Consider the following 24,427-nt stretch of genomic DNA (forward strand, 5'->3'; position numbering starts at 1 on the left):
AACTCCCTTTCCTAGGGGTGACAGACAGCACCTGGAAAATTGGGTCACTCCCACCCTAATACTGTGCTTTTCCGACGGTCTTAGCAAAGAGCACACCAGGAGATTATATCCCACGCCTGGCTCGGAGGGTCCTACACCCACAGAGCCTCGCTCATTGCTAGCACAGCAGTCTGAGATCAAACTGCAAGGCGGCAGTGAGGCAGGGGGAGGGGCGCCCACCATTGCCGAGGCTTGAGTAGGTAAACAAAGCAGCTGGGAAGCGTGAACTGGGTGGAGCCCACCACAGCTCAAGGAGGCCTGACTGACTCTGTAGACTCCACCTCTGGGGGCAGGGCATAGCCAAATAAAAGGCAGCAGAAACCTCTGCAGACTTAAGTGTCCCTGTCTGACAGCTTGGAAGAGAGTAGTGGTTCTCCAGCACGCAGCTGGAGATCGGAGGATGGACGGACTGCCTCCTCAAGTTGGTCCCAGACCCCCAAGTAGCCTAACTGGGAGGCACACCCCAGTAGGGGCAGACTGACACCTCACATGGCCGGGTACTCCTCTGAGACAAAACTTCCAGAGGAAAGATCAGGCAGCAACATTTGCTGTTCACCAATATCCGCTGTTCTGCAGCCTCCACTGCTGATACCCAGGCAAACAGGGTCTGGAGTGGATTTCCGGCAAACTGCAACACACCTGCAGCTGAGGGTCCTGACTGTTAGAAGGAAAACTAAAAAACAGAAAGGACATCCACACCAAAACCCCACCTGTACATTACCATCATCAAAGACCAAAGTAGATAAAACCACAAAGATGGGGAAAAAACAGAGCAGAAAAATTGAAAATTCTAAAAATCAGAGCACCTCTCCTCCTCCAAAGGAATGCAGCTCCTCAACAGCAATGCAACAAAGCTGGATGGAGAATTACTTTGACAAGTTGAGAGAAGAAGGCTTCAGAAGATCAAACTACTCTGGGCTAAAGGAGGAAGTTTGAACCCATGGCAAAGAAGTTAAAAACCTTGAAAAAAGATTAGACGAATGGCTAACTAGAATAACCAATGCAGAGAAGTCCTTAAAGGACCTGATGGAGCTGAAAACCACAGCACAAGAACTACGTGACAAATGCATAAGCCTCAGTAGCTGATTCGATCAACTGGAAGAAAGGGTATCAGTGATTGAAGATCAAATGAATGAAATGAAGCGAGAAGAGAAGTTTAGAGAAAAAAGAATAAAAAGAAACGAATAAAGCCTCCAGGAAATATGAGACTATGTGAAAAGACCAAATCTATGTCTGATTGGTGTATTTGAAAGTCACAGGGAGAATAGAACCAAGTTGGAAAACACTCTGCAGGATATTATCCAGGAGAAATTCCCCAATCTAGCAAGGCAGGCCAACATTCAAATTCAGGAAATACAGAGAATGCCACAAAGATACTCCTTGAGAAGAGCAACCCCAAGACACATAATTGTCAGATTCACCAAAGTTGAAATGAAGGAAAAAATATTAAGGGCAGCCAGAGAGAAAAGTCGGGTTACCCACAAAGGGAAGCCCATCAAACTAACAGCTGATCTCTTGGAAGAAACTCTACAAGCCAGAAGAGAGTGGGGGCCAATATTCAACATTCTTAAAGGAAAGAATTTTCAACCCAGAATTTCATATCCAGCCAAACTAAGCTTCATAAGTGAAGGAGAAATAAAATCCTTTACAGACAAGCAAATGCTGAGAGATTTTGTCACCACCAGGCCTTCCCTAAAAGAGCTACTGAAGGAAGCATTAAACATGGGAAGGAACAAATGGTATGAGCCACTGCAAAAACATACCAAATTGTAAAGACCATCGAGGCTAGGAAGAAACTGCATCAACTAACGAGCAAAATAACCAGCTAGCATCATAAGGACAGGATCAAATTCACACATAACAATATTAACCTTAAATGTAAATGGGCTAAATGCTCCAATTAAAAGACACAGACTGGCAAACTGGATAAAGAGTCAAGACGCATCAGTGTGCTGTATTCAAGAAACCCATCTCACGTGCAGAGACACACATAGGCTCAAAATAAAGGGATGGAGGAAGATCTACCAAGCAAATGGAAAACAAAAAAAAGGCAGGGGTTGCAATCCTAGTCTGATAAAACAGACTTTAAACCAACAAAGATCAAAAGAGACAAAGAGCTCTCCCTCTCCCTCTCCCTCTCCCTCTCCCTCTCCCTCTCCCTCTCCCTCTCCCTCTCCCTCTCCCTGTCTCCACAGTCTCCTTCCATGGTCTCCCTCTGATGCCGAGCCAAAGCTGGACGGTACTGCTGCCATCTCGGCTCACTGCAACCTCCCTGCCTGATTCTCCTGCCTCAGCCTGCCGAGTGCCTGCGATTGCAGGCGCGCGCCGCCACGCCTGACTGGTTTTCGTTTTTTTTTTTTGGTGGAGACGGGGTTTTGCTGTGTTGGCCGGGCTGGTCTCCAGCTCCTAACCGCGAGTGATCAGCCAGCCTCGGCCTCCCGAGGCACCGGGATTGCAGACAGAGTCTCGTTCACTCAGTGCTCAATGGTGCCCAGGCTGGAGTGCAGTGGCGTGATCTCGGCTCGCTACAACCTCCACCTCCCAGCCGCCTGCCTTGGCCTCCCAAAGTGCCGAGATTGCAGCCTCTGCCCAGCCGCCACCCCGTCTGGGAAGTGAGGAGCGTCTCTGCCTGGCCGCCCATCGTCTGGGATATGAGGAGCCCCTCTGCCTGGCTGCCCAGTCTGGAAAGTGAGGAGCGTCTCTGCCTGGCCGCCATCCCATCTAGGAAGCGAGGAGCGCCTCTTCCCCGCTGCCATCCCATCTAGGAAGTGAGGAGCGTCTCTGCCCGGCCGCCCATCGTCTGAGATGTGGGGAGCACCTCTGCCCCGCCGCCCTGTCTGGGATGTGAGGAGCGCCTCTGCTGGGCTGCAACCCTGTCTGGGAGGTGAGGAGCGTCTCTGCCCGGCTGCCCCGTCTGAGAAGTGAGGAAACCCTCTGCCTGGCAACCGCCCCGTCTGAGAAGTGAGGAGCCCCTCCGTCCGGCAGCCACCCCGTCTGGGAAGTGAGGAGCGTCTCCGCCCGGCAGCCACCCCGTCCGGGATGGAGGGAGGTGGGGGGGTCAGCCCCCCACCCGGCCAGCCGCCCTATCCAGGAGGTGAGGGGCGCCTCTGCCCGGCCGCCCCTACTGGGAAGTGAGGAGCCCCTCTGCCTGGCCGGCCGCCCCGTCCGGGAGGGTGGTGGGGGGGTCAGCCCCCCGCCCGGCCAGCCGCCCCATCCGGGAGGTGAGGGGCGCTTCTTCCCGGCCGCCCCTACTGGGAAGTGGGGAGCCCCTCTGCCCGGCCACGACCCCGTCTGGGAGGTGTGCCCAGCGGCTCACTGGGGATGGGCCATGATGACAATGGCGGTTTTGTGGAATAGAAAGGCGGGAAGGGTGGGGAAGAAATTGAGAAATCGGATGGTTGCCGGGTCTGTGTGGATAGAAGTAGACATGGGAGACTTTTCATTTTGTTCTGTACTAAGAAAAATTCTTCTGCCTTGGGATCCTGTTGATCTGTGACCTTATCCCCAACCCTGTGCTCTCTGAAACATGTGCTGTGTCCACTCAGGGTTAAATGGATTAAGGGCGGTGCAAGATGTGCTTTGTTAAACAGATGCTTGAAGGCAGCATGCTCGTTAAGAGTCATCACCACTCCCTAATCTTAAGTACCCAGGGACACAAACACTGCGGAAGGCCGCAGGGTCCTCTGCCTAGGAAAACCAGAGACCTTTGTTCACTTGTTTATCTGCTGACCTTCCCTCCACTATTGTCCTATGACCCTGCCAAATCCCCCTCTGCGAGAAACACCCAAGAATGATCAATAAAAAAAAAAAAAAAAAAAAATTAAAAAAAAAAAAAAAAGAGACAAAGAAGGCCATTACATAATGGTAAAGGGATCAATTCAACAAGAAGAGCTAACTATCCTAAATATATATGCACCCAATACTGGAGCACCCAGATTCGTAAAGCAAGTCCTTAGAGACCTACAAAGAGATTTAGACTCCCACACAATAATAATGGGAGACTTGAACACCCCACTGTCAATATTAGACAGATCAATGAGACAGAAAGTTAACAAGGATATCCAGGAATTGAACTCAGCTCTGCACGAAGCAGACCTAATAGACATCTACAGAACTCTCCACCCCAAATCAACAGAATATACATTCTTCTCAGCACCACACCACACTTATTCCAAAATTGACCACATAGTTGGAAGTAAAGCACTCCTCAGCAAATCTAAAAGAACAGGAATCACAACAAACTGTCTCTCAGACCACAGTGCAATCAAACTAGAACTCAGGATTAAGAAACTCACTCAAAACCGCTCAACTATGTGGAAACTGAACAACCTGCTCCTGAATGACTACTGGGTACCTAACGAAATGAAGGCAGAAATAAAGATGTTCTTTGAAACCAATGAGAACAAAGACACAACATACCAGAATCTCTGGGACACATTCAAAACAGTGTGTAGAGGGAAACTTATAGCACTAAATGCCCACAAGAGAAAGCAGGAAGGATCGAAAATTGACACCCTAACATCACAATTGAAAGAACTAGAGAAGCAAGAGGAAACGCATTCAAAAGCTAGCAGAAGACAAGAAATAACTAAGATCAGAGCAGAACTGAAGGAAATAGAGACACAAAAAACCCTTCAAAAAACCAATGAATCCAGGAGCTGGTTTTTTGAAAAGATCAACAAAATTGATAGACTGCTAGCAAGACTAATAAAGAAGAAAAGAGAGAAGAATCAAATAGATGCAATAAAAAATGATAATGGGATATCACCACTGATCCCACAGAAATACAAACTACCATCAGAGAATACTATAAACACCTCTAGGAAAATAAAGCAGAAAATCTAGAAGAAATGGATAAATTCCTCGACACATACACTCTCCCAAGACTAAACCAGGAAGAAGTTGAATCTGAATAGACCAATAACAGGCTCTGAAATTGAGGCAATAATTAATAGCTTACCAACCGAAAAAAGTCCAGGACCAGATGGATTCACAGCCGAATTCTACCAGAGGTAAAAGGAGGAGATGGTACCATTCCTTCTGGAACTACTCCAATCAATAGAAAAAGAGGGAATCCTCCCTAACTCATTTTATGAGGCCAGCATCATCCTGATACCAAAGCCTGGCAGAGACACAACAAAAAAACGGAATTTTAGACCAATATCCCTGATGAACATTGATGCAAAAATCCTCAATAAAATACTGGCAAACCGAATCCAGCAGCACATCAAAAAGCTTATCCACCATGATCAAGTGGGCTTCATCCCTGGGATGCAAGGCTGGTTCAACATATGCAAATCAATAAATGTAATCCAGCATATAAACAGAACCAATGACAAAAACCACATGATTATCTCAATAGATGCAGAAAAGGCCTTTGACAAAATTCAACAGTCCCTCATGCTAAAATCTCTCAATAAATTAGGTATTGATGGGACTTATCTCAAAATAATAAGAGCTATTTATGACAACCCCACAGCCAATATCATACTGAATGGGCAAAAACTGGAAGCATTCCCTCTGAAAACTGGCACAAGACAGGGATGCCCTCTCTCACCACTCCTATTCAACATAGTGTTGGACGTTCTGGCCAGGGCAATTAGGCAGGAGAAGGAAATAAAGGGTATTCAATTAGGAAAAGAGGAAGTCAAATTGTCCCTGTTTCCAGATGACATGATTGTAAATCTAGAAAACTCCATCATCTCAGCCCAAAATCTCCTTAAGCTGATAAGCAACTTCAGCAAAGTCTCAGGATACAAAATCAATGTATGAAAATCACAAGCATTTTTATACACTAATAACAGACAAACAGAGAGCCAAATCATGAGTGAACTCCCATTCATAATTGCTTCAAAGAGAATAAAATACCTAGGAATCCAACTTACATGGGATGTGAAGGACCTCTTCAAGGAGAACTATAAATCACTGCTCAACAAAATAAAGGAGGATACAAACAAATGGAAGAACATTCCATGCTCATGGGTAGGAAGAATCAATATCATGAAAATGGCCATACTGCCCAAGGTAATTTATAGATTCAATGCCATCCCCATCAAGCTACCAATGACTTTCTTCACAGAATTGGAAAAAGCTACTTTAAAGTTCATATGGAACCAAAAAACAGCCTGCATTGCCAAGTGAATCCTAAACCAAAAGAACAGAGCTGGAGGCATCACACTACCTAACTTCAAACTATACTACAAGGCTACAGTAACCAAAACAGCATGGTACTGGTACCAAAACAGAGATATAGACCAATGGCACAGAACAGAGCCCTCAGAAATAGTACCACATATCTACAACAATCTGATCTTTGGCAAACCTGACAAAAACAAGAAATGGGGAAAGGATTCCCTATTGAATAAATGGTGCTGGGAAAACTGGCTAGCCATATGTAGAAAGCTGAAACTGGATCCCTTCCTTACACCTTATACTAAAATTAATTCAAGATGGATTAAAGATTTAAATGTTAGACCTAAAACCATAAAAACCCTAGAAGAAAACCTAGGCAATACCATTCAGGACATAGGCATGGGCAAGGACTTCATGTCTAAAACACCAAAAGCAATGGCAACACAAGCCAAAATTGATAAATGGGATCTAATTAAACTAAAGAGCTTCTGCACAGCAAAAGAAGCTACCACCAGAGTGAACAGGCAACCTACAGAATGGGAGAAAATTTTCACAACCTACTCATCTGACAAAGGGCTAATATCCAGAATCTACAATGAACTCCAACAAATTTACAAGAAAAAAACAACCCCATCAAAAAGTGGGCAAAGGATATGAACAGACAATTTTCAAAAGAAGACATTTATGCAGCCAAAAGACACATGAAAAAATGCTCATCATCACTGGCCAACAGAGAAATGCAAATCAAAACCACAGTGAGATACCATCTCACACCACTTAGAATGGTGATCATTAAAAAGTCAGGAAACAACAGGTGCTGGAGAGGATGTGGAGAAATAGGAACACTTTTACACGTTGGTGGGACTAAACTAGTTCAACCATTGTGGAAGTCAGTGTGGCGATTCTTCAGGGATCTTGAACTAGAAATAGCATTTGATCCAGCCATCCCATTACTGGGTATATAACCAAAGGATTATAAATCATGCTGCTATAAAACCCATGCACACGTATGTTTATTGTGGCACTATTCAGAATAGCAAAGACTTGGAACCAACCCAAATGTCCAACAATGATAGACGGGATTAAGCAAACGTGGCACATATACACCATGGAATACTATGCACCCATAAAAAAGGATGAGTTCTTGTCCTTTGTAGGGACAGGGATGAAGCTGGAAACCATCATTCTCAGCAATCTATCACAAGGACAAAAAACCAAACACCAAATGTTCTCACTCATATGTGGGAATTGAACAATGAGAACACATGGACACAGGAAGGGCAACATCACACACTAGGGCCTGTTGTGGGGTCTAGGTAGGGGGGAGGGATAGCATTAGGAGATATACCTAATGTTAAGTGATGTGTTAATGGGTGTAGCACACAAACATGGCCCATGTATATATATGTAACAAACCTGCACGTTGTGCACATGTACCCTAAAAGCATAATAAAAAAAATAAAATAATAAAAAAAAATTTATACTCAAATAATTCAGGATTTTAAAAAAAGAATAATCTCAGAAATAACCACTAAAAATCTTAGTCATATAACCAAACACCACCTGATCTCCAAAAACCTATAGAAATAAAAAATAAATAAATAAATAAAATATAAAAAGCTCTACCTTAGAAAAATTAAATAAATGATGTGGTTAATTATAACACTGAAGAAAAAAAGATCAAAAGAACTTGGCTATTTTTCCAATCCACCATAATAAATATGATTCAATTGCCTATTAAAAATATAATAAAATGCCACCAAGAGCATATTTAGGTGCCTATTTCTTCACCCTATTATGCACTGGGTATAACCTCATTTTTAAAAACTTCAAGGCCGGGCACGGTGGCTCACACCTGTAATCCCAGCACTTTGGGAGGCCAGGGCGGGTGGATCACATGAGGTCAGGAGTTTGAGACCAGCCTGGCCAACATGGTGAAATCCCATCTCTACTAAAAAATACAAAACTTAGCCGGGCGTAGCGACAGGCGCCTGTGATCCTAGCTACTCGGGAGGCTGAGGCACGAGAATTGCTTAAACGGGGAAGGTGGAATTTGCAGTGAGATCACGCCACTGTGCCTGAGGGACAAAGCAAGACGCCGTCTCAAAAAAATAAATAAAATAAAATAGAATAAAAAACTTCATTAATCAGATACATTAAAAGTAATGTTTTATTTGCTCAGAGAACTTAAAAGACATCCCTGAAGTTGTGTAGCTTGAAGGAAGCATAGCTTGACCTTAGAAGGCAGGTTCTTGCTTACACACTGTTGGTGGGAATGTAAATTAGTTCAGCCACTGTTGAAAGCAGTTTGGAGATTTCTCAAAGAACTTAAAATGGAACTACCATTTGACCCAGTAATCCCATTACTGGGTATATATCCAAAAGAAAACACATCATTCTACCAAAAAGACACGTGCACTCGCATGTTCATTGTAGCACTATTCACAATAGCAAAGACATGGAATCAACCTAGTTGTCCATCAATGGTGGATTGGATATAGAAAATATGGTGTATATACACCATGGAATACTACACAGCCGTAAAAATGAATAAAATCATTTCATTTGCAGCAACATGGATACTTCTGGAGGCCATTATCCTAAGTGAATTAATGCAGGAACAGAAAACCAAAGAGTATGTGTTCTCACACATAAGTGGGAGCTAAACATTGAGTACTCATGGACATAAAGATGGGAACAACAGATACTGGGGACTACTAGAAGAGGGAGGAAGAAATGTGGGGAAGGGTTGAAAAACTAACTCTTGAGTACTATGCTCACTACCTGGGTAATGGGATTAAACATACCCCAAACCTCAGCATAATGTAATATACTCATGTAACAAAGCTGCACAAGTACCCCTTGAATCTAAAATAAATGGAGAAGAATGATGGTGGTATTTTTATGGGAATTGCATTGAATTTGTAGATTGCTTTTGGCAGTATGGTCATTTTCACAATATTGATTCTACCCACCCATGAGCATGGGATGTTTTTCCATTTGTTTATGTCATCTATGATTCCTTTTAAAAAATAAAAAGTGAATCAGTGGGCTTTCAGAAAGTTTCTTATTTTCATTTCCTGAGGTTGCTGTAACAAACTCGGTCAATAGAAATTTATTTTCTCACAATTCTGGAGGCCAGAAGTCTGAAATCTAGGTGCTGGCAGGGCTGCACTCTTTCCGGAGTTTATAAGAGAGAATCCCTTCCTTGCCTCTCCAGCTTTTGGTGACTGTTGGCATTCCTAAGCTTGTAACTGCATCTTTCCCTGTTCTGTCATTACATCACCTTCTCTTTTGTATATGTGTCTCCCACTGCGCATTCTTTTGTTTTCAGTGTCTCCCAGGCATTCAAAATATGCTGGTTTCTTATCACCACTCTAAGTCACGCAAGACAGAAACCAGTCTTTTTAGGCAGCTCCCCGAGAAGCCAGACCATTGAATACACATTTCACTTTTCTCTTCTCCCACTGCTGAAGCCATGAGCTAGTTGCTTTTTCCCAGTTTTGCCAAGCTGTATCAGCTTCTGTCTGTGTTGTTACAAGTTATTTGGTGCTGCCACAGCTGCTGGGCCCTCTTTTTTCTTAGTGGCTCCTAACCATCCAAATTATTCCTGTTTCCCATAAGTTGTTTTAGTCAGGTGAGACAAAAACAGCAGCTTCCCAAAAAGTCAGAATGTTAGATAAATGTTCTACTATTTTCTTACTCTCTCAAAGGAGAAAATGTATGTTGGACTTTTGCTCCCAATGGGAGATGTGTTAACCTGAGAGAGGGCCTGATATGGATAAAATTAAAAGCATTTTCATACCTATTTCAATGCAGCTGTTCTTAGCTTTGAGCTTCCCTGGGATACTTTGACTTCCTAACTGGGTTCTTATGTTTTTTGATTATGAATTCAATCTCTTTACTTATTATAGGTCTGTTTAGATTTCAAGTCATTTCCTGAGTCCGTTTTAGTATTTTGTCTTTCTAGGAATTTGGACATTTTGTCTAAATTATATAATTGGTTGGAATACAAATATTCATACTATAGCATTTCCATATAATAATTTTTATTTCTGTAAGTTCAGCAGTAATATCCCCTTTTATTCCTGATTTTAGTAATTTATGTCTCCTTTTTTTTAATCTCTGTCAATCTAGCCAAGGTTTGTCAATTTTATTGATCTTGTCAAACAAACTACTTTTTATTGATTTATTCTGTTTTATTATATGTATTTATTTATGTTCTAATATTTATTATTTTCTTCATTCTCCTTGAGTTTAGTTTCTTTTGTTGTGATTTTGTTTGTTTGTTTCTTAAGGTGAGTGGCTAGGTTATTGACTTGACATTTTTATTATTTTTAATGTCGGTTTTTATAGGTAGAAAACTTTTCTTTAAGCACTGTTTTGCTGCATTTCCTAAATTTTGGTATAATGTGGTTTGGTTTTGATTAATCTCAAAGTATTTTCTAATCTCCTTTGTGGTTTCTGATTTGAGCCACTGATTATTTAGAATCATCTGATTGATTTCCACATATTTTTCATGTTTTTGAATTTTGCAAACTTCCTTTCATTATTAATTTTATATTTAATTTCATTTTAGAGAGAACATAATTTATATTATTTCAATCTTTTTAAATTTATTGAGGCTTATGTATGCCCTAACATATTACCATATGTATTTGAGGAGTATGAGCATTCTGCAGCTGTCAGATGTAATGTTCTGTAGATTTCTGTTGTGGTTAGTTGGTTTGTAGAAATGTTGAAATCACCTGTTTTATTATTAATCTTCTGCTTAGTTGGTATTTCCATTATTGAAAGAGAGTATTAAAGACCTCAAATATTATTGTTGAATTGTTGGTTTCTCCTTTCAGTTCTGTCTGGTTTTGCTTTATGTATTTTGGGGCTGTGTTACTAGGTACATATATATTTATAATTTCATTGTCTTCTTGACTGGTTGATCCATTTATGATTATAAAGTGCCACTTTTTTTCTCTAGTAACATTTTTTTCTCAAAGTGTATTTTATTTGATACTAGTATAGCCATTCCAGCTCTTTTTTTGCTACTGTTTGCATGGCATATCTTTTTCCATTCTTTTACTTCCACCCTATTTGTGCCTTTTAACCTATAGTATGTCTGTTGCAGACAGCATTTATTTGGATCATGTCTTTTAATTCATTCTTCCAATTTGTGTCTTTTAATTGGAGAGTTTAATTCATTTACATTGAAGGTAATTACTGATTTTGAAGGACTTCTGCTATTTTGCTTTCTATTTCCTATATGTATTATGATTATTTGTGTTACTCTTTTCCTCCAATACTGCCTTATTTTGTGTTGAATAGTGATTTTCTAGTGTACCATTTTAATCTCTTATCTCTTTTATTATATTTTTGAGTTATTTTCATAGAGATTATTCTGCAGGTTATATTAACATCTTTTATTTTTTCCAACTTTATTTAGGTATATTTAACATTTTTAAGTTATATACATTTAAGGCATACAACTTCATGATTATATATATTTTTTTGATATAATATATTCATATATATATGTACACACACATTGTAAAATATTCACCACAAAAGCTAATTAGCATATCCATCACCTCACATAGTTATCATTTTTATATGTGATGAGCACACTTGAAATCTACCCTCTGAGCAAATTTCAAGTATATGATACAATATTGTTAACTATAGTGATATTGTTGTACATTAGATCACCAGAACTTATTTATCTTTCATTATTACTAAAACTTTATACCCCTTGACAGACATCCTCCCACATCTTCCTCTCTCCAGCCCCCAGTAACCACTCTTCTACTCTCTGTTTCCGTGAGTTTGACATTTTTAGATTCTACATATAAGTGAGATCATGGGGTATATATTTTTCTACATCTTGCTTATTTAACTTAGAATAATGCCCTCCAGATTCATCCAAGTTGTCACAAATAGAATGATTTTTTCTTTTATAGGACTAAACAATATTCCATTATATATCTCACATCTCACATCTCTCACATTATCTATATATATCATATTATTATTATTAGATAGATAAATAGACAGATCTCACATTATCATTATCCTGTTATCCATCAGTGGACATTAAGGTTTTCTCTTTATCTCAGCTATTGTGAATAATACTCAAATGAACATTGGATTGCAGATTTCTTTCCAAGATACTGATTTTATTTCTTTAGCCTATGTACTCAAAAGTGAGATTGCTGGATTGTAAGGTAATTCTATTTTTAATTTTGAAATGAATCTCCATACTATTTTCCATAAAGCGTTCCAATTTCCATTTCTCCCAACAGTATACAAAGGTTCTCTTTTCTTCACTTCCTGCCCAAAACTTGTTGTAGTTCATCATACTGATAATAGCCTTTCTAACAGGTGTGAGGTGTTATCTCATTGTGCTTTTGATTTGCATTTTCCTGATTAATAATTTTGAGCACCTTTTCTTATACTTCTTGGGCATTTGTATTTTTTTAATTTTGTTCTATATATATTTATATATATGTAACTATATATATAAAACCAAATATATATATATATATATATATATATATATATATATATATATATATATATTTCAATAGTTTTCTTGGTACAGGTGTTTTTAGGTTACATGGATGAATTGTATAGTGGTGAAGTCTGAAATTTTAGTGCACCCATCACTAGAGTATGGACATTGTACCAGGTAATAGTTTCTCATCACTAACCTCACAATCTACCCCATTCTGAGACTCCAGTGTCCATTATACTACTCTGTATGCCTTTGCATACCCATAGCTTAGCTCCCACTTATAAGTGAGAAGATACGATATTTGGTTTTCCATTCCTGAGTTACTTTTCTTAGAATAATAGCCTCCAGCTGCAACCAAGTTGCTGCAAAAGACATTATTTTATTATTCTTTTTATGGCTGAGTAGTATTCCATGATATACAGGTACCACATTTTCTTTCTCCACTCATTTGTTGGTGGGCACTTATGTTGGTTCTATATCTTTTCAATTGTGAATTGTGCTGTGATAAACATACATGTGCAGGTATATTTTTGATATAATGACTTATTTTCCTTTGGATAGATACCCAGTAGTGGGATTGCTGGATTGAATGGCAGATCTACTTTTAGTTCTTTGAGAAATCACCAAACTATTTTTCAAAGAGATTGTACTATTTACATTATCACCAGCAGCATATAAGCATTCTCTTTCCACTGCATCCAAGCCAACATCTATTTGCTTTTTGACTTTAATAATGGCCATTCTAGCTAGGGTAAGGTGATACCTTATTGTTATTTTAATTTGAATTTCCTTGACAATTAGTGATGTTGAGTATTTTTTCATATGTTTGTTGGCCATTTGTATATCTCCTTTTGAGAAATGTCTACTCATATCACTTGCCCACTTTTTGATGGCATTGTTTATTTTTCTTTTTACTGATTTGTGTGAGTTCCTTGTAGTTCTGAATATTAGTCCTTTGTCTTTGTCAGATGAATAGTTTAAAAATATTTTCTCCCATTCTATGGGTTGTCTGCTTATTCTAATGATTCTTTCATTTGCTGTGCAGAAGCTTTTTAGTTTAATTAGGTCCCATTTATTTTTGTTGTAGTTGCATTTGTTTTAGGGGTCTTAGTTATAACTTCTTTGCCTAGGCCAATGTCCAGAAGTATTTTTCCTGTGTTTTCTTCTAGAATTTTTATGTTGTCAGGTCTTAGATTTATGTCTTTGATCCATCTTGAGTTGATTTTTGTAGATGGTGAGAGATAGAGATCCAGTTTCTTTCTTCTACATGTGTCTGTCTAGTTTTCCCAGCACCAATTATTGAATATGGTGTACTTTCCCCAATTTATGTTTTCATATGGTTTGTTGAAGATCAGTTGGTTGTAAGTATTTGGCTTCATTTCTGGGTTATCTATTCTTTTTCTTTGGTCTATGTATCTACTTTTATACCATTACCATGCTGTTTTGATTACTATAGCCTTGTAGAGTAATTTGAAGTCAGATAATGTGATGCTTCCAGATTTGTTCTTTTTGCTTAGGATTGCCTTGACTATTCGGGTTTGTTTTTGATTCCACATGAATTTTAGGATTGTTTATTCTTTCTTTCTTTTTTTTTTTTTTTTGAGATGGAGTCTCACTCTGTCACGCAGGCTGGAGTGCAGTGGCACCATCTCGGCTCACTGCAAGCTCCGCCTCCCAGGTTCACGCCATTCTCCTGCCTCAGCCTCCTGAGTAGCTGGGACTACAGGTGCCCGCCACCGTGCCCGGCTAATTTTTTTTTTTTTTTTTTTTTGTATTTTTAGTAGAGACGGGGTTTCACTGTGGTCTCGATCTCCTGACCTCATGATCCGCCTGCCTCGGCCTCCACGCCTGGCCTAGGATTGTTTTTTCTAATTCTGTGAAAAACGATGTTGGTATTTTTTGATAGGAATTGCACTGAATCTGTAGATTGCTTTGTGCAGTATGGAAATTTTCTCTCTTTTTTTTTCCTTATTTGTTAGATTCATCTTTTTAACAACATCCTAAAACTCCGAGCACTGGGCCAGTGGGGCTTTGGGCTCAGCAGCTATGAAGGAGGGACCCCCAATACCCCCTAAGCCAGGTCATTGTAAGAAGGCACTCACGAGGGGGATATCAAGCCCCTCTTGTATTTCTTCATACAACCAGCTGTTTGGCAGGCTCTATGACATCGATAAAGACCTCGCTCTTTAAGGAGCTAGAGTAGGACAGCATCCAGGACAACTTTGTCATTGCCTAGGAGTTACTGAACAAGCTCATTGACTTAGGCTTCTAGCAGACCACCAACAGCAAGATCCTGCAGGAGTACACCACACAGCAGAGCAACAAGCTGCAAAGGGGCAAGTCAAAGGTGCCACTCACCATCAACAACGCTGTGTCCTGGTGCTCCGAGCGCATCAAGTACAAGAAGAACGAGGTCTTCATTGATGTTATAGAGTCTGCCAACCTGCTGGTCAATGCCAAAGGCAGCATTTTGCTGAGTGAGATCTTTGGCACCATCAAGCTCAAGGTGTTTCTGTCGGGAATGCCAGAGCTGCGGCTGGGCCTCAATGACTCCATGCTCTTCGAGCTCACTGGCTGCCACAAAAACAAATTGGTAAAGCTGGAGGATGTAAAATTCCAGCATGTTGCTCTCGTGCTTTGGCAATGACCACACCATCTCGCCCATTGATGACTTTGAGCTCAGATACTACTGCCTCAGCACCCAGGTCTAGCCACTGACCTGGATTGACTCTGTCCTTGGGAAGTTCTCCCACAGCCTTGTGGAGATCATTGTCAAGACCAAGGGGCAGGCCAGGCGCGGAGGCTCACTCCTGTAATCCCAGCACTTTGAGAGGCCGAGGCAGGTGGATCACTTGAAGTCAGGAGTTTAAGACCAGCCTAGCCAACATGGTGAAACCCCGTCTCTACTAAAAATACAAAAATTATCTGGGTGTGGACACGTGCCTATAATCCCAGCTACTTGGGAGGCTGAGGCAAGAGAATCACTTGAACCCGGGAGGCAGAGGTTGCAGTGAGCCAAGATCGCGCCACTGCACTCCAGCCTGGGCGACAGAGTGAGACTCCATATCAAAACAACAACAAAAACAAAAAAACAAAAAAGACCAAGAGGCAGTTTAAGAAACAGTCAGTGGCCAATAGTGTGGAGATGTCTGTACCCATACCCAACGATGCCGACTCCCCGCACCTGAAGACCAGCGTGTGCAGCGCCAAGTATGTGCTGGAGAAAAACATCGTTATTTGAAGTATTAAGTCCTTCCGAGGGGGCAAGGAGTACCTGATGTGAGCCTACTTTGGCCTCCCTAGAGTGGAGAAAAAGGAGGTGGAGGGCCGGCCCCTTATTAGGGTCAAGTTTGAGATCCCCTACTCCACGGTCTCTGGGATCCAGGTCTGATATATGAAGATCATCGAGAAAAGAGGTTATCAGGTCTTGCCCTGGCTTCCCTACATCACGCAGAGTGGTCATTAGGAACTTCCTACCAACCAGAAAGGGAGAGGAGATGGGGGCTGGCACACGGGGCCTCTGTATAGTCCCTGCTGCAGATTTTAGAGAGGGAGGAAATGTGGGTGTGTATGTGTGTGTGAGGATGGGTTCTGGACTTAGTTTATTGTTCCCAGCACCCGCCCCCTCCTCAACTCTTCCTTAATCCATAGGCTAGGAAGGAGTCTCCCTGCCGCCCTCACCCTTGGGGCTTTCCCTTGTCCCCCTGATTTTATTCGAAGAAATACAAGAGGGGCTTGAAGTACCCACTCATGAGTGCCTTCTAGCAATGACCTGCCTTAGGGGGTGTTGTGAGTCCCTCCTTCATAGCTGCTGAGCCCAGAGGCCCTGCTGGCCCACTGGTCTGCGTTTTAGGATGTCATTTACATCTTGATTTCGTTTTTAACCCAAAAATCATTCAGGAGCAAATTGTTTAATTTTCACATTTTTGTATAGTTTTGAGGATTCCTTTTGGACTTGACTTCTAGTTTTTTTCTACTGTGGTCTGAGAAGATACTTGATATGATTTTGATTTTTTTAAATGTATTGTGGCTTGTGTTATGGCCTATCATATGGTCTATACTGAAGAATATTCCATGTGCTGATGAGAAGAATGTATATTCTGCAGTTTGGGGGTAGAATGTTCTTTAAATATCTCTTAGGTCCATTTGCTCTAGAGTGCAATTAAAGTCCAGTGTTTTTTTATTTACTTTCTGCTTCAGTGAGCTGTCTAGTGCTGTCAGTGGATTGTTGAAGTTCCCCACTATTATTATGTTGCTTTCTCTTCTCTTAAGTCTATTCATTGATTTATAAATCTGAGGACTCCAGAGCTAAGTACATATATCTTCTTGTTGGATTGATGCTTTTATCATTATATAATAACCTTCTTTGTCTTTTTTTTAACTGTTGTTGCTTTAAAGTCTATTCTATGATATAAGAATAGTTACTCCTGCTTGCTTTTAGTTTCTATTTGCATGTAATATCTTATTCTACCCATTTATCTTGAGTCTATAAGAATCTTTACATGTTAGGTGAGTCACTTGAAACAGTAGATATTTGGTTTGTGATTTTTTTTTTTTTTTTTTTTTTTGAGATAGAGTCTCACTCTGTCACACAGGCTGGAGTGCAGTGGCATAGTCTCAACTCACCACAACCTCTCCCTCCCAGGTTCAAGCAATTCTCCTGCCTCAGCCTCCCGAGTAGCTGGGATTACAGATATGCACCACCATGCCTGGCTAGTTTTTATATTTTTAGTAGAGACGGGGTTTCACCATATTGATCAGGCTGGTCTCAAACTCCTGACCTGAAGTGATCTGCCCACCTTCGCCTCACATAGTGCTGGGATTACAGGGATAAGCCACCGCACCCAGCTGGTTTGTGTTTTTTAATACATTTTGCCAATCTGTATCTTTTAAGTGGAACATTTAGATCATTTTATTCAATGTGAATATCGAAATGTGAGGTACTGTTCGTCATTATGAGGATTGTTACTTAGATGTTTTGTTTTCTTCATTGTGTTATTATTTTATAGGACCTGTGAGTTTTATGCTCTCAGAGGTATCCTGGCGCATATCTATCTTTTGTTTCAAATTTTAGAACTCCTTTAGCATTTCTTGTAGGATTGGTCTGGTAGTGAAAAACTCCCTCAGCATTTGCTTGTCTGAAGTCTTTATTTCTCCTTCATTTATGAAACTTAGTTTTGCTGCATAAAAATATCTTTGGCTGACAGTTATTCTGTTTAAAGAGGCTAAAAATAGGACCCCAGTTCCTTCTGGCTTGTAAGGTTTCTGCTGAGTATATGTGTTATCTGGAGAAGTGTCTATTTAGGTCCTTTATTCATTTTTAAATTGAGTTATTTATTTTCATTGTTATTGAGTTGCAAGTGTTCTCAATATATTTTGGATGTTAATCCTTTATTAGATATATGTTTTCCAAATATTTTTCTCCTTTTCTTTAGGTTGCCTTTTCACTCTGTTGATTGTTCCCTTTACTGTACAGAAGTTGTTTTTTTTGTTTTTTTTGTTTGTTTGTTTGTTTGTTTTTGTTTGTTTGTCGTAATCCCATTTGTCTACTTTTGGTTTTGTTGCCTGTGCCTCTGGGATCATACCCAAAAAATCGTTGCCCAGACCAAGTCAAGATGTTTTTCCTGTTTTCTTCTATAAATTCAGCAGTTTTGTATCTTATGTTTAAGTCTTTAATCCAATTTGAGTTGGTTTTTGTATAGTATGAGATAATAGTCCAACTTCATTATTCTGCATGTGGATATTCAGTTTTCCCATAACTGTTTATTGAAGAGACTGTTTTTCCCCATTGTGCATTCTTGGCATTTTTGTAGAAAATCAATTGACTGTAATGATGTGGATTTATTTCTCTGTTTTCAATTCTGTTATTTTGGCCTATGTTTGTTTTTATGCTTGTACCATACTGTTTTGATTACCATACCTTTGATATATATATATATATATATATATATATATATATGTTTGTGTATATATATGTTTATATATATATGTTTGTGTATATATATGTTTATATATATGTTTGTGTATATATATATGTTTGTACATATATATATGTTTGTGTATGTGTATGTGTGTGTATATATATATATATATATATGTATATATATATATATATATCTGTTTGTTTTTTGAGACAGAGTTTTACTCTTGTTGCCCAGGCTAAAGTGCAATGGCACAATCTTGGCTCACTGCAACCTCTGCCTCCCGGGTTCAAGCAATTCTTCTGCCTCAGCCTCCCAAGTAGCTGGGATTACAGGTACATGCCACCACACCCAGCTAATTTTTTTGTATTTTTAGTAGAGACAGGGTTTCACCATGTTGGCCAGGCTGGTCTTGAACTTCTGACCTCAGGTGATCCACCCACCTCGGCCTCCCAAAGTGCTGGGATCACAGGCATGAGCCACCACACCCAGCATGTAATATATTTTTAAATCAAGATGTGTGATACCTCCATCGTAGTTCCTCTTGCCCAAAATTTCTTTGGCTATTCAGGGTCTTTTATGGTTTCATATGATTTATGGAGTGTATTCCATTTCTGTAAAGAATGTCAATGGATTTTGATAGAGATTACGTTTACTCTATAGCTCACTTTGGGTAGTATGGACATTTTAACATTTAACAATATTAATTCTTTCAATCCAAAAATATGGGATGTCTTTTCATTTGTGTCTTATTTAATTTTCTTCATCAATGTTTTATAATTTACAGTGTATAAGTCTTTCACCTACAGAGATTATTTAACTTCTTCCTTTCTGACTGGGATGCCTCTTCTTTCTTTCTGTTGCCTAATTATTCTGGCTAGGACTTCCAGTACCATGTTGAGTAGAAGTGATGATAATCTTCATCCTTTCCTTGTTATCCTTTTCTTGTTTCCCATAGCATATATATTGCAGTTATTGCTTTCTAGTTTTTTTCATTATAGTCAGAAAATATACCTGGAATGACATTGATCTTATTAAATTTGTTAAGGCTTGTTTTGTGACCTAACATGTGATCTATCTGGAGAATGTTCCCTGTGTACTGGAGAAAAATGTGTATTCTTCTGCTGTTGGGTAGAAAGTTCCATATATGTCTATTAGTTTCATTTGTTTTGTAATGTTTTTCAAGCCAGATGTTTCTTCATTTATTTTCTGTCTGAATGCTGTATCTGATATTGTGAATGGGGTATTGAAGTCCTCTACTATTATTGTATTGTCAATGTCTGTCTTCAGATCTGTTGATATTTGCTTTATATATTTAGGTTCTCAGATGTTGGGTGTGTATATATTTATAATTGTTTTATCTTCTTGCTGAATTGACCCTTTTATCATTACATAGTTGACCTTCTTTGTCTCTAGAGTTTTAAACATAAAATATATTTTGTCTGATATAAGTATGACCACTTCTGCTTTCTTTTGGTGACCATTTGCATGAAATATTTGTTCCACCCCTTCACTTCTCAGCTTATGTGTGCCCTTAAATCTAAAGTGACTCTCATTGACAGCATATTACTAGATCCTGTTTTTTTAAAATCTATTCATTAGCAAGCAATGGATTTCTATAATAAAGAAAAAAATCTATTCAGCCATACTCTGCCTTTGATTGGTGAGTTTAATCCATTTACATTTAAGGTAATTACTGATAAGTGAGTACTTACTATTGCTATTTTTTAATTATTTTCTGTCTATGTTGCAGATGTTTTGTTTCTCTTTTCTATCTCGCTTTCTTCCATATATTTTTTTTTTTTCTGAGACAGAGTCTCGCTGTGTTGCTCAGGCTGGAGTGCAGTGGCACAATCTCAGCTCACTGCAGCCACTGCTTCCTGGGCTTAAGTGATTCTCATGCTTCAGCCTCCCAAGTAGCTGGGATTATAGGCTCATGCCACCATGCCTGGCTAATTTTGTATTAGTAGAGACAAGGTTTCACTATGTTGACCAGTCTGGTCTCGAACTTCTGACCTCAGGTGATCCGCCTGCCTTGGCATCCCAAAATGCTGGGATTACAGGCATAAGCCACCACACCCAGCCTCTTCCTTTGCTGTTTGATGAGTTATTTTGGTAGTGATTTGCTTTGATGCTTTCTCTTTATCTTTTGTGTGTCTATTAAAGGTTTTCTGGCAGTTATTTTGAGGATTGCATAAAATATATTCTAGTTTTATTCTTTGATTTTCAGTGGATAACAATGTAGCTTAAATATCATACAAAAAATACTATACTTTTACATCCCCCCCACACACACACTTTGTGTTCTTGTACTCAGAATCTGCTTTTTTATATTTTGTATCCATTAAAAATTTTTATCTTTTAAGTTTTATATAAAGGCTAAAAGTAAATTATGCACCACCATTACATTGTTGCATTAATCTATATATCTCTATTTTATGCTTTCACATCACTATTTAGCATGTGTTTCTTTCAGTTTGAAGAGTTCCCATAAATATTTCTTTGTAAGGCAGATCTAGTGGCAATGAACTCCCTCAGTTTTTGTTTGTCTGGGAAAAGGTTTCCCTTCTTTATTTTTAAAGGATAATTCTGCAGGATATAGTATTCTTTGATGGCAGTTTTTTTTTTTTCTTTCAGGACTTTGAATATATGTTCCTACTCTTTACTGGATTGCAAGATTTCTGTTGAGAAATCCACTGATAGTCTTACAAGGATCCCTTACATGCAAAGATTCACTTTTTTCTTGTTGCTTTCAAAATTATTTCTTCATCCTTGTTTGTTTTAGTCTATTCTCAGGCTGTTAATAAAGACATACCCAAGACTGGGTAATTTATATAGAGGTTTAATTGACATACAGTTCCACGTGGCTGGGGAGCCTCACAATCATGGCAGAAGGCAAAGGAGGAGCAAAGTCATGTCTTACATGGCGGCAGGCAAGAGGGTATGTGCAGGGGAACTCCCCTTTACAAAACCATCAGATCTCCTGAGACTTATTCACTATCACAAGAACAGCATGGGAAACACCCACCCCCGTGATTGAATTACCTCCCACTGGGTCCCTCCCATGACACATGGGGATTATTACAATTCCAGGTGAGATTTGGGTGGGGACATAGAGCCAAACCAAATCTCCCAGATTGCAAGGTTTCTGTAGAGGAATCCACTGATAGTCTTACAGGAATCCACTACATGTCAAGATTTTACTTTTCTCTTGCTGCTTTCAAAATGATTTCTTCATCTTTGACTTTAGATAATTTGATTATAATTGGTCTCAGTGAAGACCTATTTGGGGTTCTTTTCACATCATGGATCTAGATGTTCATTTTTCTCCCTAGATTTGGAAAGTCTTCTTTCATTTATTTCTTTAAATGAGATTTCTACTCCTTTTTCTCACTGCCCCTTCTGAATTCTATAATGTATACATTATATTTTTATACTATCTTGTAAGTCACGCAGACTTTCTTCAGTCTTTTTCATTCTTTTTACTTTTTGTCTTTCTAACTGGATAATTTCAATTATTTTCAAGTTCACAGATTCTTCTACTTGATCAATTTTGTTGTTGAAGTTCTTTATTGGGTTTTTAATTTCTTTCTCTCTTTTTTTGAAAGTACAGAGATTTATTGCAAAGTGAAAAGTACACACTCAAGAAAGAGGCGTGCAGGCATATTCAAGAGTCAGTCACACAATAGAGTTTTCAGCTTCTACTTTTATGGGTTTATTTAACCAGGGAGTAGAATATTTATGAAGATTCCTGGAAAAAGGTGAAGATTTCTCAGAACTGTGGTGCCACTCATTTTTACACCAAAAATGAGTGTAATCTCAGAACTGTCATGGTGCTGGTGGGTGTGTGATTTAGTATGTTAATGAGTATATAGAGAGGTCCTAGGTGAAACCTAGGTCAAATCCAGCACCATATTGGATTCAGTCAGTCTTAGCCAACTTGTTCCACACCCTGTTTTTCATGGTTTTATCAGCCCATAGCCTCTAGTCATGTGAAACTGCTGACTGGAATTTTTTTTTTTTTTTGTCTCACTCTGTCACACAGGCTGGAGTTCAGTGGTACAATCTCAGCTCACTGCAACCTCTGCCTCCCAGGTTCAAGCGATTCTCCTACCTAAGCCTCCCGAGTAGCTGGGACTACAGACATGCACCATCACTCCTGACTAATTTTTTTTTTTTTTTTTGTATTTTTTGTAGAGATGCAGTTTCACCATGTTGGTCAGGCTGGTCTCAACCTCCAGACCTCAAATGACCTGCCAGCTTCAGACTCCCAAAGTGCTGGGATTACAGACGTGAGCCACCATGAACTGCCTGCCTGGAATTCTTTGTTCATCCTCCTTCCTGATGATTAGGGGTAATGGCACTGCCTAGCAAGGGCATGGAAGTCTCTGGCTGACTGGTCTAGGGGATCCAAGGCAGGGTCATCAGGAGAGTCTAAATCTGAGGCAGGGATTGATTGGAATCCTTGCATGACCATCATTTGGTGTGGTACTGTTGCAGCCTAGAAGACACAAACTTTACAAGGAGGTTAAACAAGCATTATACACACACACGTGCACACACACACACACACACAACAGGAGTTGTGTGAAGAAGAGGAAAAATAAAAAACAGGAAAAATATTTGATGTCTAATGGCTGAAAAGTTCCAAAATTTGATGGAAAACTTTAATCTGCACATTCAAGAAGATCAATAGGCCGGGCACGGTGGCTCACACCTGTAATCCCAGCACTTTGGGAGGCCAAGGTGGGTGGATCACCTGAGGTCAGGTCTCTACTAAAAATACAAAAATTAGCCGGGTATGGTGGCAGGTGCCTGTAATCCCAGCTACTCCAGAGGCTGAGGCAGGAGAATCACTTGAACACGGGAGGCGGAGGTTGCAGTGAGCTGCCAAGATCATGCCATTGCACTCCAGCCTGGGTGACAGAGCAAGACTCTGTCTCAAAAAAAAAAATTTCAATAAACTCAAAGTTGGAAAAACTCAAAAACATTCCTCTGTGTGTGTGTGTGTGTGTGTGTGTGTGTGTGTGTGTGTGTACACTTGGTGATATATCACAGGTCTCTTAGGCTCTGATCATTTTTCTTTATTTTCTCTTTCTGCCCTTCAGACTAGGTAATCTCAGTTAACCTGTCAACATAAAGTTTGATGCTTCTTTCTATAGCCAGCTAAAATCTGCTGTTGATCTCTCCAGTGGATTTTTTATTTCAGTTATTGTCCTTTTCAACTTCAGAATTTCCATTAAAATTCTCTATGTGATAAGACATCTTACATTCCTTTTGTTCTTTGACATACTTTCTTATAATCTTTAAGCATATTTTAAATAGCTGATTTAAAATATTTGTCAGGTAAGCCTGACATCTGGGCCTGCACAGGGACAGTATTTTAAAAATATTTTTTAAAGAAATGGGGTCTCACTTCATTGCCCAGGCTATATTTGAGCTCCTTGGCTCAAGCAATACTTCCACCTCAGCCTCTTGAGTAGCTGGGACTATGGGCTCATGCCACTATGCCCAACTCAGGAGGGATGGTTTCTATTGACTTTTTCTTTCCCTGTATATAGGCCATACTTTTTTGTTTCTTTGCATATCTCATAATTTTTTTGTTGAAGACTGAACATTTTAAATAATATAATTGGCAACCTTGGAAATCAGATTCTCTCCTCTTCCTAAGGTTTGTTTTTGTAATTGTTGTTTAGAGACCTGTGAAGTAATTCTTTAAAGTCTGTATTATTTGTTGTGTGTGGCCACTGACATCTCTTCTTGGAATAGCTTATTTGTCAGCTATTGGTTCAAAAACATTTTTCTTAACTGCCTTGAACCAGTAAGTCTT

The 24,427-nt window shown here is 39.6% G+C and overlaps 1 protein-coding gene and 1 pseudogene across 15 annotated transcripts in view, besides 2 other annotated features; both read left to right on the forward strand.

Moving 5' to 3' along the window:
- The window catches only part of ZC3H12B (zinc finger CCCH-type containing 12B), a 473,062-nt gene that overhangs the window by 419,399 nt on the left and 29,236 nt on the right, over positions 1–24,427 (forward strand). Inside the window, exon 1 of one of the 15 annotated variants that reach the window (XM_011530939.3) lies at positions 22,795–22,951. The exons of the other annotated variants lie outside the window; for them this stretch is intronic. The gene's annotated coding sequence lies outside the window, so the exon portion shown is untranslated. Of the gene's footprint in view, positions 1–22,794; positions 22,952–24,427 lie in introns of those variants that run through there. 15 annotated transcript variants of the gene reach the window in all.
- Positions 9,202–9,730: an enhancer, noted in NCBI's record as "OCT4-NANOG-H3K27ac hESC enhancer chrX:64683306-64683834 (GRCh37/hg19 assembly coordinates)". NCBI's record gives its function as "activates a minimal SCP1, AML or CMV promoter by ChIP-STARR-seq in naive H9 embryonic stem cells {active_cell/tissue: H9 hESC(naive)}" and the evidence as "EXISTENCE:reporter gene assay evidence [ECO:0000049][PMID:30033119]".
- Positions 9,365–9,659: a silencer, noted in NCBI's record as "tiled region #257; HepG2 Repressive non-DNase unmatched - State 24:Quies". NCBI's record gives its function as "represses a minimal TATA promoter and a strong SV40 promoter by Sharpr-MPRA in HepG2 cells {active_cell/tissue: HepG2}" and the evidence as "EXISTENCE:reporter gene assay evidence [ECO:0000049][PMID:27701403]".
- Positions 14,861–16,355, forward strand: AP1M2P1 (AP1M2 pseudogene 1; annotated as a pseudogene).

Source organism: Homo sapiens, chromosome X (assembly GCF_000001405.40).
Source record: "Homo sapiens chromosome X, GRCh38.p14 Primary Assembly".
Lineage (NCBI taxonomy): Eukaryota > Metazoa > Chordata > Mammalia > Primates > Hominidae > Homo > Homo sapiens.